Source organism: Homo sapiens, chromosome 2 (genome assembly GCF_000001405.40).
Source record: "Homo sapiens chromosome 2, GRCh38.p14 Primary Assembly".
NCBI lineage: Eukaryota > Metazoa > Chordata > Mammalia > Primates > Hominidae > Homo > Homo sapiens.
The window spans coordinates 119578587-119593677 of NC_000002.12; the positions used below are offsets into that span (position 1 = coordinate 119578587).

At 40.0% G+C, this 15091-nt stretch overlaps 1 protein-coding gene across 12 annotated transcripts in view; it reads left to right on the plus strand.

The window, feature by feature from the left end:
- The window catches only part of CFAP221 (cilia and flagella associated protein 221), a 115875-nt gene that overhangs the window by 34138 nt on the left and 66646 nt on the right, over positions 1–15091 (plus strand). For all 12 annotated transcript variants that reach the window (NR_073132.2, XR_922883.4, NR_073133.2 and 9 more), the window contains one exon: positions 8533–8636. Coding sequence is in view for 9 of the 12 variants with exons in the window: in XM_006712353.4 (XP_006712416.1) it covers positions 8533–8636 (104 nt within the window). In the remaining 3 variants the exon portion in view is untranslated. The remainder of the gene's footprint in view (positions 1–8532; positions 8637–15091) is intronic.

The following is a 15091-nucleotide window of genomic DNA, read 5'->3' on the forward strand; positions in this document are numbered from 1 at the left end:
ATTGTCTATGTTATAGCTTACCTTATCCATACATCTCTGTGTGAAGGCTTTCTTTTATCTTGATGTTTCCCTCAAATTTCATACAAGTATAATAACTAATGGCTAATTTATTGTGCCCTCTGAACCTAGTCATCGTGGAAAAAGTTAGCATTTGTCATGCTTGTTGTCAGTTAACCTTCTTTTTCCAGAAAAGAAGCCAAATCCTATTATGGTAAACTAGCCTCTTCACCCCCCTCTCTAGATATCGGGAATTTTTAGTTAGAGTATATTTTTAATTAGACAGTATATTTGATTTTATGTTAAAGTAAGTTCAAGATCATTTGTTCTAGAGAAAGGACAAGAAAGAAATTTGAATTTCTATTAAGTCATTTTATTATATTTGCTTTCTGTAAGGCAAATTTTGCTTTCTTCTAATAGGCATAAAATTTCCACATGATTGTAATATAAAAGTCTACCATTTAAAAGGTTTGAGTTCAATTTTATTCAAATAAGGGATAATTATTTTAAAGTACTTAATATATTTCTATGTATAGCCTTAGCATAATTGATAAAATGTTTAAATAATAAGGTAAGAGGGATAAAAGTTGTAGTTACTTCCAAAAGCACTAACATGTACTTGCCTTAATATTTTAGTTGCCTGATTCCTCTAAGTTACAGAAGAGCTCTAATTCAGTATCCTACTCACTTCTCAGAAATAACAGGCACGAGATATATATATATACATATATATATGTTTCTTCATTGTATATCAGATTTAATGGTATTTAACAATGAGAATTTAGTTTAAAATGTAAAATTCCACCCAGACTCTAATAGGATTCTGTCTCTTTAAATATGAAGAACTTCTAAATAAACTTCATATTAGCCAAAATTCCTTTTGACTCAAATTCATCTGGACTGTCTTTGATTTATGATTATGGTGGCCATGCAAACTAATTTGACATGCATAATATGCACAGCAGTAGTGAAAGCAAAAGTTCAGCAATTCCACTGAAAACTGTACTACTTGCACTGCTATATCTGCTTCTGAATTATGGTACTTGGAATTTTGTGCCCTTAAGGAACTGTTTGTTTTTCCAGACTGGCTAATGCATCAGGAACTTGGCTTCAAATAATTATTATTAAACAAATACCCTGACACCTTTTCTATGGGACTTATCAGAGCTGTGAAATTAATTGAAAATTGAGTATATGTAACAAATGGGAAAAGCTCCAGGAGTTTTTGTTTGTTTCAATTCAGGAAAATGCAAACATGCAGCTTTTAGCAGAGGAGCCCTGAGTATCAGACTTTGCTTTGCCGGGACAGCTTTGAGCAGACTCCTGGGTTACTGACCTAGGGCAACACAGCCTGTGTGGCTGCGTGAGTCCACTGGCGTCATCTTCAAAGACCATATTTGGGCCTTTCAACACTTCACATCGCGCATTACCCAAGGCCTGCTTAGGTTCTGAGGGTCAGAAATACCTCACACGCATGTGTAACTAACTTGTAATGTTAGTTTTATCTACCCAGCGCTGGTAGAATAGCTGACACTCAGTGGGGCCTGAGCACCTGTTAGCATGAATTGCCTTACCTTCATATATTCTGTTTTTCAGAATTAGGAAACATCTCACAGAGTGAAGATTGACTGCATACCTCTAACAGAGCCTGATTTAAGACAGGATTTGTGAGTTTGGTAGACAATCCTATGAAGTTTTCATTTTACTGTTGACTGAAGACCATACACTGTACGGTGACCCTTATTCAGAATTTTTATCAGAAACCTAGGGCCCCTGAACATGAGTATATAAAGTCTGATGCAGGCCTATACCCTATTGGGGATCTCATGTGCTCACAGTACAGCTACGCTCCTCTCAAAGAGACATCATAGCTAAGGAACAATGTTTTAAAAACAAGTACCAGTGCAAATTAATTAGAAACAGGGCACTGCCTGACGTTAGGAACTCTGCATTCAGAGTGTAGATCTCTCAAAAGTACAGTTAGAGACATCTGGTCAGGATGAAGCAGTGTGCGCAAACTGCAATGAACCTTTTTTGTGCAAAATTACTAGTTAGTGACAAACAAAATATAAAGAGACCTCCAAAAAGACACACTCAGGCTCAGAAACAAGCTGAACAACTCCACAGAGCAGGAACAGCATAGAAATGCTGAGTGGGTTGCAGGGTGGAGCCACAGGCTTGCAGGCTCCAGGTTTTGAAGCAGTCAGGCAGTGTTGGAGACCACTCCATGGGGTAAAGGAGACTGCAAGTGTCTCACTGATTCAGGGGATCCGCACTTGGCCTGCAGCCAGGAGAAGAGGTAAGCTGCCCCACCTTTGCACTTCCCACGAAAGGAAGCTGGAAACCCTCTGCTGACCTGTTGCCTGGGCCTGGGGCCTCGTCCCTGGTTGTGGACAGAGGACAGTGTAAGGGACAGTACTAACCAGCTTGTGGTGCAGAGGTGAGCCATGTTACCTGCTGGCCCAGTGACTGAGTTCACTGTAGCACTAAAATAGCTGGCTGGCAGGAACCCCAATATGCAATTATAAAATTGAATATAGATTAAATCCTTTTACTCAAAATGAGCCTGCAAATCCAAATTCCAAAACACACGAATAAATCTTGTGCTAAGAAAGCCAAAACCCAACAATCAGAATATAATTGAATGAAATTAATTATTAAAAACAGTTTAATAAAACTTTAAAATAGATACACTTAGGATTCTTAATGAGATGATTGAGGCAAACTTCCATTTTAAAATGTCAAGAAATTATGAAACAAAAATAGATGGACATTGTTTTAAAGATCAGATAGATAAAAAGAACCATTTAGAAATCTTAAAAATTCAAAATATAGTCACCGAAAACTTAAATCTCAATAGACTGAATAAACTCTATACTGGACACAATTGAAGAAAAGATTAATAGATTGGAAGATAGTAATAATACAGGAATTCACCCAGTATAGAGTACATAGAGGTTACATTTTACATGAAGGGAAATTAGGGGGTACGGAAGCTAGACTGAAAAGCTCCAAGATATATGTGTCTAATAAATTGGAGTTCTGTCAGGAGAGAGTGGAGGGAATGGTATAGAATAATACCAAGCTTTTCAGAATTAAAGATAATTATGAAGATTTGGTAAGTGCATTCAAATATGAATATCTAGCAGGATAAAGATAAATTTCTACCTAGACACGTAAGAGTCAAGCTGCAGAGCATCAAGAATAACGAGAAATCTTGCCTGTAATTCCAGCACTCTGGGAGGCCAAGGCAGGAGAATCACTTGAACCCAGGAGTTTGAGACCAGCCTGGGCAACAAAGTGAGATCCCATCTCTATAAAAAATAAATAAATAAATAAGAAAAAAAAGAGAAACCTTAAAAAGCTGCCAGAGAGAAAAGAGTGATAATCTACAAAAAAGTGACAGCAGTTCTTCATCAGCAACAAACAATTAAGGAAAGATGTGGAGTAAATATTTTCAGAATGCCAGGGGAAAATAAACAGTCAACCTAAAATTTTTCCCAAGGAAGAAAATAAAAAATAAGTTTATTTACGTAAGAATTTCCCACACACAATCCTCACTAAAAGAAAATTTAAAAGGAATATGCCAGCAAGAAGAAAAACATATTTGGAAAGTAGCCATGGGAATGGAAGGAGAATGGCAAACACCAAAATTAATTACATATGTTGGTAAATTTAACTAATTAACCATTTTTAAAAGTCAGTACTTTTTGTTGTTTAAGCTAAAACTACAACTCAACATAGCATATACAAGATGGAGGGGTAAGAAAGAGTCTTCAATAGGCAGGTAGGGCTGACCACACTGTATTTGGGAGGATAGAAATACTAGGTATGTTTAGACTTTGTTGGGAATTTTCAATAAGTAAGACATATCTTTTTTTTTTTTTTTTTGACAGGGCCTGTGCTCTGTCACCCAGGCTGGAGTGCAGTGATGCGCTCTCGGCTCACTAGAACCTCCGCGTTCCAGGCTTCAGCCATCAGCCCATCTCAGCCTCCCGAGCAGCTGGGACTACAGGCACACGCAACTGTGCCCAGCTAATTTTTGTATTTTATGTAGAGATGGGGTTTTGTTACATTGCCCAGGCTGGTCTTGAAGTCCTAAGCTCAAGTGGTCTGCCCACCTCGGCCTCCCAAAGTGCTTGGATTACAGGCGTGAGCCACAGCACCCAGCTGTCAATAAGACATATCTTTAAAAAATTTAGAGTAATAATTAAAATTATAGAAATGCAATCTATAGCTGCCAAGTCATAGGAGGAAAAAAGTAGAAATATAAAAGCAATCAGTCCAGCAAGAGGCAAAAGAACAAAAATGAAGCAAAGTTGTTTTTTAGAAAATACAAAACAAGGTGGTAGAAATAAGTTCAAATATATCTATTATTAATTGTAACAAATGAAAACCTATTAAACTCACCTATTAAAGGAAAAGATTATCCTACCTGCTAAACATTTTTTAATCCAGCTATATCCTGCTTTCTGGAGACACACCTAAAATAAAACTTTTCAGGAAGCTTGAAAATGAAGGAATGGAAGAGGTATGTATACCAAGCAAATTTTAACGAAAAGAAAACTCATTAATTGGGAAAAAAAAGCTTAGAAATAGACAAAAATTTCCTTGACCTGATAAAGGCTATCACAAACTTTCTAGAAACATCATTCTTAGTGGTAAAAAATTAAAGTATTTCCAGTAAAGTCAAAATAAGAAAAAGATGCTCTCTTCACTTCCATTCAGTATTATACTAGAAGTCTTCAATGCAATGATCAGAAAAAAATACATGAATTACAACAGTTGGGAAAGTAAATAGGAAATAGTCTCTTTTTTTTTTTTTTTTTTTTAGATTTTATGACTCACACTGGGATTATAGGCACAAGCCACTGTGCCTGGCCTAGACTGTACAATTTTTTACATAGAAAATCTAAGGAAATCTACAGATAAACTTTTACAACCCATAAAAGACTTTAGCAGGGTTTTAGATCAAAATCCAAAAGTAGCATTGCAATACACTAGTAATAAAGAATTGTAAAAGACAAACATTCCATTCACTATGATACAGAAGCTATAAGATACCTGGTGCTATGGTCTGAATGTTTGTTTCCCCCTCAAAATGTATGTGTTTAAATCTAACCCCCAAGGTGATCTATTAGGAGGTGGGGCCTTTGGGAGGTGATGAGGCCATGAGGGCAAAGCCCTCATGAACAGGATTAGTGTCCTTATAAAAGAGATCTGGAGAGCTTCGTAGCCCCTTCCATTATGCGAAGACACAGTGAAAAGATGGTCATCTATGAACCAGGAAGTGGGCCTGCACCAGACACCAAATCTGCCAGCACCTTGATCTTGGACTTCCCAGCCTCCAGAACTGTGAGGAATAAATTTCTGTTGTTCATAAGCCACCCAGTCTGTGGTATTCTGTGACAGCAACCCAAACATACCAAAACACCTAGGGAAAAACTTAACCAAAATGTATAAGCTCATTATGGAGACACTTATAAAATTTGATTGAGGACATAAAATTAAACCTTAATAAATTAGAGACATACCATGTTTATAGTTTAGAGCAGATTTCAATTTTCTCCAAAACAATGATTGATAAAACTGACTACCTTAAAATTAAAAATTTATGTCCAACAAAAAACACCATAAATAAATCAAAAAATAAACTATGGCTTGGAAAAGATACTTGCAATGCATATAATTAACTAAATTAATATTAGAATTTACAAATGAGGCCAGTCATGATGTCTCATGCATGTAATCCCAGCACTTTTGGTGGCCAAGGCAAGAGGATCACTTGAGCCCAGGAGTTCGAGACAAGCCTGGGCAACATAGTGGGAACTCATCTCTACAAAAAATTTAAAAACTAGCTAGGTATGGTGATGCACACCTGTGGTCCCAGCTACTCAGGAGACTGAGGTGGGAGGATCACTTCAGCCCAGAACATCAAGGCTGCAGTGAGCTATGATTATGCCACTGCACCCCAGACTGGGTGACAAAGTGAGACTGTGTCTCAAAAAAAAAAAAGAAGAATTTACAAATGAATAAGAGAACAAAACCAATGAATAGAGAAATGGGCAAAGGATATGCACAGGCAATTCACAGGAGAGGGAACCCAAATGAATACACAGGAATAGAAACTCAACCTCAAAAGAATGAGAATGAAAGTGAAATGAGATGCCATTTCATCTCCATCAGGTTGACAGAAGTTAAAATGCCTGAGAATCCTAAATGTTGGTAAGCAATAGAAACTCTCCTATTCTGCTAGTAAAGGTGTAAATTGGTAAAGGGCTTTGAAAAATATTTTAGTCGTATCTAGTAAATTTAATATTTTTACTTTGCTACTAACCAGAAGTCCCATTTGGGGTTATTCCTAAAGTAGCTCTACTGCAGGTGCATGTGGAGTCATGCAGTAGGATCTTCACTGCCACATTGCAATAGTGAAAAAATGCAAACAACCTAAATGCCCATCAACAGGAGAGTGGCTGAATAAAGTGTGGTATAATTATATAACAGAATACTCTTCACTCGTTAAAATGAATGCACAGAGCTTTACATATATCCATGGATAAATCTCAAAAACATAGTTTGAGCAAAAATAGCAAGTTTCAGAGCAATATTGTTAAAAAACAAACAACATACTATATATTTTATACATACCACATATTTTTATGCATACATATGTAAGTAGTAATATTACTAGAATGCATGAGAATGGTAGAACAGTGAATACAGGGTAGGGGTCACTTATAAAATTTGATTGAGGACATAAAATTAAACTTGAATAAATTAGAGACATGCCATGTTCATAGTTTGGAACAGATTTCAATTTTCTCCGAAATAAAGGTTGATAAACCTGACTATCTTAAAGCAGGGAGGAAGAGGGAGAGAATTGGGGAAGGAGCTACAAGGAGCTTCAACTCTTTTGCAATGTTTTATTTCTTTAAAAACATCATGCTGATATACCCAAAGCAAAAGATTTGTTAGAGCTCAGTAGTAGATAAAGGGGTCGTTATTTTATTGTTCTTTACATTTTTCTTTATATTTGAAATATTTCACAGATTTTTTAAAGATAATAAATTTTAAAGCCAAATAAAAATGTTTTGGGCATAATTTTAAAAGCCACATGTGAGTTATGTCATATCCCCAAAATTGCTACTGAAAAAAGGGTTATTTCGCTTCACACCAACAAATATTTATTGAGCCTTTGGTCCATGCGACACTCTGGGATACACTGGAGACCCAAATGGACTTGGTCTTTGCCTTCATAGGACTCTGAATCTCCAGGGAAGACAGACACTGGGCAGGTAGGGAAGCCTGTCATTATTGGAGAAGTCCACAGACAGATGGGTTCGGATGGGTCCTGCCCAGAAGGTAGAGCCCAGCTGGTCTGGCAGCTCTGCTCAAACCAGATTACAACTGTGTTCTCCTGGGAGTATGAACTGGAAAATGAGAGGGGATGGGCTGTTGGCAGGGAGACCAGAAGCTAAAAGGATAAGAGGCAGGGCCAGCCTCGAGGCAGGAGGGCTGTGATGGGGTGAGGGCTCAGAAGGTATGGGGTAGAGAAGAGATGTACAGAGTCAAAGATGAAGCTGGCTGGTGGCTTAACGAGAAGGGAGGGGTGCAAAAATATCAGGAATGCAGGGAGTGGCTGGGTCACTTGAAAGGAAGCACTTGACTTCCTGCTGCTGCAAGGGGACCCAATAACCTGCCCCCAGCACTGCACAGGATGTAGAATTACCCTGGAGAGCTCTGCTCCCCCAGGCAGTCAACTCTGGCTGACTTGGATTGCCCTGATTGAAGGAGAGGACATTATGGGAAGCATGGGGCACTCCAAGAAATGCCACTGCTGCCACAGCTCCTGGGGTGCTGTAAGCAACAGCTTCAAGCTAGCTTAGAGGTCCGCCTTGTCTTGGGGTGACAGACCATTTCTGAATACATAGACCTCCTCCACGTTCTCTAATGGTTGCTGGACTTCTGACCAAATAAAGAGTACCTAGCTTATTTCAATCAAACACAGCCCAAAGTGTGGTTTCTTCCACACTGTCCCGTCCAGGCTCTGTGAAAGGCCAGGGGTCTCCCAGGCTTTCTATAAGCCCATCTATTTGGCCTTTCCTTGGTTCGGTGAGGCCGAGCTCTGTGGTAGAGACTGCCTTTTCCCTATCGCTGCAACTCTGGAAAATAAACTTAACAGTACTCGAGAGGTAGCAAGGACAGTGGGGTGAGGAGTATGGATACCCAGCACAATCGACTACATTAAATCATGGTTCTGCCACTAACTATGTCACCTTGTGTGGAACACTTACCCTCTCTTGTGCCTCAGTTTCCTCTTCTGTAAGTGGGGATAATCACGGCACCACCTCATAGGATTAAAATAGTTAATACATGGGAAATGCATGGGGTTACTCCTGGCACACAGGAAGTGCCAGATCAGCATTGGCAGTCATCATTGTTTATTACGTAACTTGAGTCTCCATTCCTTGCTACCAAAAGAACCAGTTATAAAGAAAAATAATATTTTTATTTTCTTTTTTGTTTGTTTTGCAGCAAAACTTATGTTATTCCTTTGCAGTGCAGCTGCCCTGTAGATTTTGAGTTTTATATCACCTTGATTCAGTCTCATCAAGCCTTTGCTATTGAGCCAACATCAGGTAAGGAGTGTCAAGATTTCAAGTTCTAAAAACAAGAATAAGCTGCATTCAAACGTTATATTTTCAAACACATATCAGTGATGAATTTTACACATAACTGACCTGATGTAAAATGGAATTGGACACGTCAGAATAACGACACTTTGGGATCATTTGTATCATGCAGATAATTTTTAATAATGTTCAGGTAAGTTTCTTCCATGATCGAAACTTGAAATCAGAAATTGATCCATTCCAATGCTAAGTTTGGCTCCTGGTACATCCTTGGTTTTGTATCCACCTTATAATTCAATTTCAGATAAAATAGGAATCTTCTTTCTTCCAGAGCTTTCAGAATCTTAGTGAAGGGTCTGATGAATTTGTCTCATTTGTGGTGTAGACAGTATGTTTTTGCATGCCCCAGAGGACATAGATCACTAGGCTGCTAAGGACATTTGAAAGTGAGATTTTACACCTAAAGTAATCTCTGCTTCCCAGTTCCTGTCTCTTGATATTTAGGTTTGGGATTTAAGTATCTGTCCACAGTGGTCTACTGTGGTCTACTGTGGACAGATATTTAAAATTGTTAAATTTAAACAATTTAACAATTGCTAAAATGGTTTTAAGTCCGGGTATTCATTTGTTTACAACTCTTTCAGTACTGCAAGTACATATTTTGTCCAACAAATGAGTGTTTAAAGCAGAAACTGTGAATTAATTCTCAATTATGAAATGTACTTAGATTATTTTCTAGAGGACCAGGAGCCATTCTGAGATTTTGTAAAATATAGGGTAACCACTGTTTATATTGCAAAAAACAGGACTTGATTCTCTTTTCAGAGAGAAGAGGTTTATTGTTTTCAGCTGTGTGGGCCTAAAAATGAAGGGAAAATAAATGGTCACTAAAATTATACTAAACAAGATAATATTTCAGATGTTAAGTATAGTTGATATTCTCACAGTAGGTCTTTCTGTGGGTCCCTGCCCCTCTGATGGTCCATAATTCTATTAAGTTCCATGGGCTGAAGGGACCACTACAATTTCTGAGCAGTCATGATGGGAGCCGTTTTAGACAGGTCAGCGTGCAGGTTTACAGGTATGACTGAGGTGGGTACAGACAGGAGTCCAGGAATTCGTAGTGTTGGAATGAACTCACATGGGACTTGAGATCTTGAAATGAGCTGACATCAGTAGCCAGGAAAAGGAAGAAAAGCTCAATAGCTTATGGCCTAGCCATACTTCTCTAAAAAACTGTGACCTAAGACTCAGAATATTAATTTACCCAGTGGGTTTTGAAACACAACCTATTCAAAATCAGGGTACTATATAGATAATAAAATACAGCATTAAGCAGAATTGACTGACAACTATGTATGACACACTTAAAAAAATCATGCAGGCCTTTCCCTCCGTGCTCAGATTATAAAATGCAGGGCCACATAATTCAGACAAATGCATGATACATGAGATACTTTGTCTGATTCATCAGGTAAGAGATTGTGGTTGTTTTGGTACTTTGTTTATTACTTAATATTTTAAATTTGTCCTTTAAGTGAAATTAAATTGAATATACCAGTTTGGAGTTGAGAGAGAGGGGAGTGCTAGGGACATACACTTGGATGTCACTGGGTGTTATACATTTGTACAGCCATGGGACTGGACACGAGGTCACCTTGGGAGTGAGTGTGGATAGAGAAGTGGACCGAGGGCCACTCAGACACTCAGACGATAGCAAGGGGAGGTGGATCCAGGAACAAAGAAAGACCAAGGAAGAAAATCAGGAAAGTGCAGTGCAGAAGAGGAGAATGAAGGAGAGAGGGAAGCCCTGCAAGCCAGGGCTCTTGGACTTTGGGACCCGTCTTTTGCTGGTTTGAATGACCTGCATTGTGTGGATGGTGTTGCAGATGTGGCATTCCAAACTGGTCTCATGGGCTCTGCCCTTCAGCCTCCTCGGTAGCTATTTTGTGAATCTCAGGTCATCGTTGCTCCACCAGTCTCAGGAACGTTCTTGGTTTGGTTTCCCACTTTGATGGTGTATCAGTACATTGTTGGCTGTTATACTTTTGAGGTTCCAGAATTCCACCTGCAGTGAAGAAAGCCTTGGCTGCATGGAGAGTGAGTGCAGCTCAGGCAATCTTTGTGCTTACTGGTCTCCTGACTTGCCAGGCATCTGGCTTGACTTGGAGGCCATACAGCTGGACAGTCTTGGATGGCTTTTTGGCCACAAGGCATTATTGCCTCCGTTTTACAAACTGGGTTCAGATAGACTAAGAAACTGGGCTAATTTTACACAGTTAGCATGTGTATTTGTAGACACTGTTTCAAGCACGTGTTTGGTAACTTATTTCTAAAAGACTTGGGACATCCCTAGTCTGTTAGGTTATGAAGCCATATCTTCTCTAGGAACTAGAAGCATCATCTACGCACACCTTCCAGGCATTTTATGCTGAAGTTTGCCAAATGAAAAAACAATTTGAATCAAGCTATTAATAATTCTATTTATAAGGTATGCCCTCAACTTTAACTCAACTGGCCATCCTTAAGATGCAGGTGGGCTCTGTAGCCGTCAAAAGCTGGACCTGCTGTTGTTGGGGGCCAAGATATTCCTGAGGCTGGAGAAAATGAATAAAGGATTTTATGACCTTCCTGTACTGCTGACAAGAAATCATATGCAACCAAAACTTCAAGAACACTCTGTTGATAATTTTGGAAGAGCCAGCAATGCACGACTTTGGCCAAGATATTTTTTTTTCCGTGAAATCTGAAGAGAAGTATTGACCAAGATCTTATTAGCATCGGAGATCAGGCAAATGCCACAAAAAAATTGTTGAACTTGTCTACTTGTCACTATTTTGTGATCCTGGACATTCCCTTGTTGTCACAAATGCTAGGGAAGAATGCATCTAACTCATATAAATGGTAAATTATAGCATTAAGTGGCTGGCTAAGCAAGAGTTCCTTGGGGGCTGTTGCTTAGAGTTCTTATATAAAGTTTCAATAAGTTCATTCTCTTTTTTTAATTATAAGAAAAATATAAGCCACTTACAAATAATTTTATATTTTGCATTTTCTTCTGAAAGGCACATTTTTTACAACTTTATATCAGTTTGGGAGTAAACCCAGAACCTCTGCCCTTGCCTTGGCCTCAAACCACTTTTTGGTTCTAGACATTACCTGGGGGCCACCAATCCAGCAGGAAGCACCTTCTAGCAAAGAATGAATCCCCATCCTCCAGCATGAGCACAAGGACACCAAGCGCACTGTACCCTGCCTGTTGAGGTTCAAGGCACTTTCATGCAGCACCTGCTCTGGGCAGCCTGTCTGGACTTGCCGCTAGTCCAATCATCCCATCTCAGCTGGGCTCAGCCATACTCTTGGCCATACCTGCCACTGTGCTGTCCACACACCAGCATTCACCCACTTACATTTCAAAAGGGAGCATATGCTGGTTCCTTTTTGCATCTTTTTTCTCCAAAGGCCCCTTGGCCCCTGGCTGAGGTAGTTTATCACATAATAAGCCCTACCTGCAGGGTCCAGCAGCCTTTGGGATTCCAGAGCAGAGCCATTACATCCACAAGGGAAAATAATGAGGGGAGGTTTCCCCTACTTCTCCTCCCTGCCTCACTGTACTCCTGCGGACAGGTGAGACAGAAGACCCCCAAACCCCAGCACAAACTGTGCGGGGTACAGATCAGGATTGTCAAAGGGAGGGTGAGACCAGATCTCCAGCACACAGCGCAGGCCCCCATAAAATGCTTCTTGCTGGTAGTTAAGACCATGATGAACAGCCTTATCTCAGAAAACACATAGTGGCTATATGACTGCTTACAGAAATGAAAACATGCAGGCCTTTGGCAAGGTTCACTTCCAAGAAGTGATGGAAATTAGTGAGATAACCGGCAGAGGGCCTCTGATAATGATAAACTTCCAGGTCAGCAAATGGAGGAACAGCTGGGGGCCATATGCAGGGTTGGAAAAGAGTCCTTACCAGAGGTAAAATAGAGAGATCAAACCTTTAAAAGATTTTCCAAAGCACCAAACCCAATAGTGAGGAAGGGAGAATAATTAGGGATAGTTAATATATGAGATGCAAATGAGTTCCCTAGCTTTTAGAGGACGTAGGTAATTAATAATGACACACTGAAGAAGTCAGGAAAAGCTGGACAGACAGGTGGCAATTTTCTGTCACATTGGTAGCAATGGTCAGTTTTACCTGGTGCTCAATATACCCTTGATGGGTGGCAGTGGTTGCACACAGCGTGGCTGGCATGATGTTCATAATTGCTTCTATTTACTAATTGTTAGCCGCATGCCAGGTGCTGTGCTAAGCACATCACATGCACCATCTCATTGAATTCTATAACCCTGTCCAAGAGGACCATTTGATGGGCTGTCATTCTGGGCTGCTTGAGCTCAGTTGACCACAGCAGCAGTCAGTGAACTTGACCCAGAGGACAATGCCTGTATCTTAATGAAACTCTTACCTCACACCTCTACTGCCCATACAGAAGTGCTTGTTCCAGCAAGGCCAGGAAGAAGTCAGATGGTTTGGCTCAGCCTCTCACCCTGCTGGGAAAGCCAGTCTTCCAGGAGGCTGGAAGAGAATGTGGCTTTCGTGATCGACAGCAGGCACTTCTGCGGGTCCCACAACACTGGTCTGGGGTAGGTGCTGTGCCAGAAAACAGGCAACAGCAACAATGGGAAAAAAAGAGCCACTCCAGGTGTAAAGTATAGAAGAAATGAGGTTCAGCAAATAAAAATATTTCTTTAAAAATGGCTTTATAAAAAATGAAATGTGTTTATTATATAAATATTAAAACACTGAAGAAAAGTACCAAATCCAAGTTGAAAAAACATTACCGAGAATCTCATCACTCCAGAAATATCATGAACATTTATCCCTGCAGACACCTCTCTGTGCCTATGTACAAAGAGGAGAAAGAGGGAGGCTGGAGGCATACGATGATGCAGAGACACGGAAAACTACAAGAAAACTTGGATCATATGATATGTAAAAATGATGTTACTTGATATTGACTGAAGAAAAACAAGTGAAGCTAAAAGGAATTGGTGAACTTCCTTGGTATATGCAATATTCATTCCTAAAATTTGTTGCTAAAATTAAGAAAAGAGATAATGAAGGCATTAAGAGGTCAGAGCCACTGTCTTCTTCAACTGTGTGCCTCACCTTCAGCTGGAATCTTGGCCATGGAAAATGGGAAACAGCATGCATGTACTTTCTCCCTCCCCTCTTAGAACTCCCGGCTTTGTCGTACCCTTCTATGTTGTCTATAGCATTTATATTCTCTTTTGTGACCATGAATGCTGTAGCTATTTAGTTCCTATTGAAATGGAGCCACAGATTTCACCTCTGTTCTTTATTCCATGTTCCCTACATTCACAAATTCTTCACTTCAGTTTTTCTGGCTGTCTGGATGCTGTCACCTAGTGGCTTGTTAACCAGAGGCTCCTGGGGCTGCATGCCTCCATGCTCGCATGTTTGACAGTGTCTCTCTGCTGTCTGCAATCTTGAAAGACAACCTGGTGAGGTCTAACAGTCTTGGTTTCCAACTTGGTCTATCTCAGAACTTAGTAGACCTTGCTGATCGTCCCCGGCTTTGGCTTTGCTAGGAATTTGGAGGCTGGGCTGAGTTGTTCCCCACTGAAGGTGAATTCTGGATGCCCTCAGAAATTTTCTTTTTAGTCTTGAGGTTAAGCAGTTCACCAGGATATGTATTGGTGTTGTTCTGCATCATTTTTGTCCCCTGGAAAATGGCATGTCCTTTTGATCTGGAGAAAAATGACTTGTTATTTTGGGAAATGTTTCAACTAGTAAAACCTTGAATGTTTTCATGTTCTATTTGCTTTGTTCTCTTCCTCAGGAATACCAATTATGTGTGTATGTTGGTTCTCCTTTGCCTTCAGTATCTATTATCTGCTTTAAAATAATTTCATTTTGTGTGGATTTCTCATTCCTACCTGCCACATCCTTACCTGTGTTTTCAGTGTGTGTGTATGTGTGTGCATGTATGTGGTATTTGCATGAGTGTGGTGTATACATATGAGTGTGTGTTTATTGTTGTTCCTTTGCTGATGTTTCCACCTCAGTGCTTGTGTTAGTCTGTGTCTTGCTATAAAGGAATATCTGAAGCTTGGTAATTTATTTTTTAAAAAAGAGGTTTAATTGGGTCTGTAGGATGTACAGGAAGCATGGTGCTGGCATCTGCTCCTAGTGAGGCCTCAGGAAGCTTCCAACTATGGTAGAAGGCAAAGGGAGAGTAGGCGGTATCAGATGGTGAGAGAGGGAGCAAGAGAGAGGTGGGGAGGTGCCAGGTTCTTTAAACACCAGCTCTCTTGGCCGGGCATGGTGGCTTACGCCTGTAATCCCAGCACTTTGGGAGGCCGAGGAGGGCGGATCACGAGGTCAGGAGATCGAGACCATCCTGGCTAACACAGTGAAACCCTGTCTCTACTAA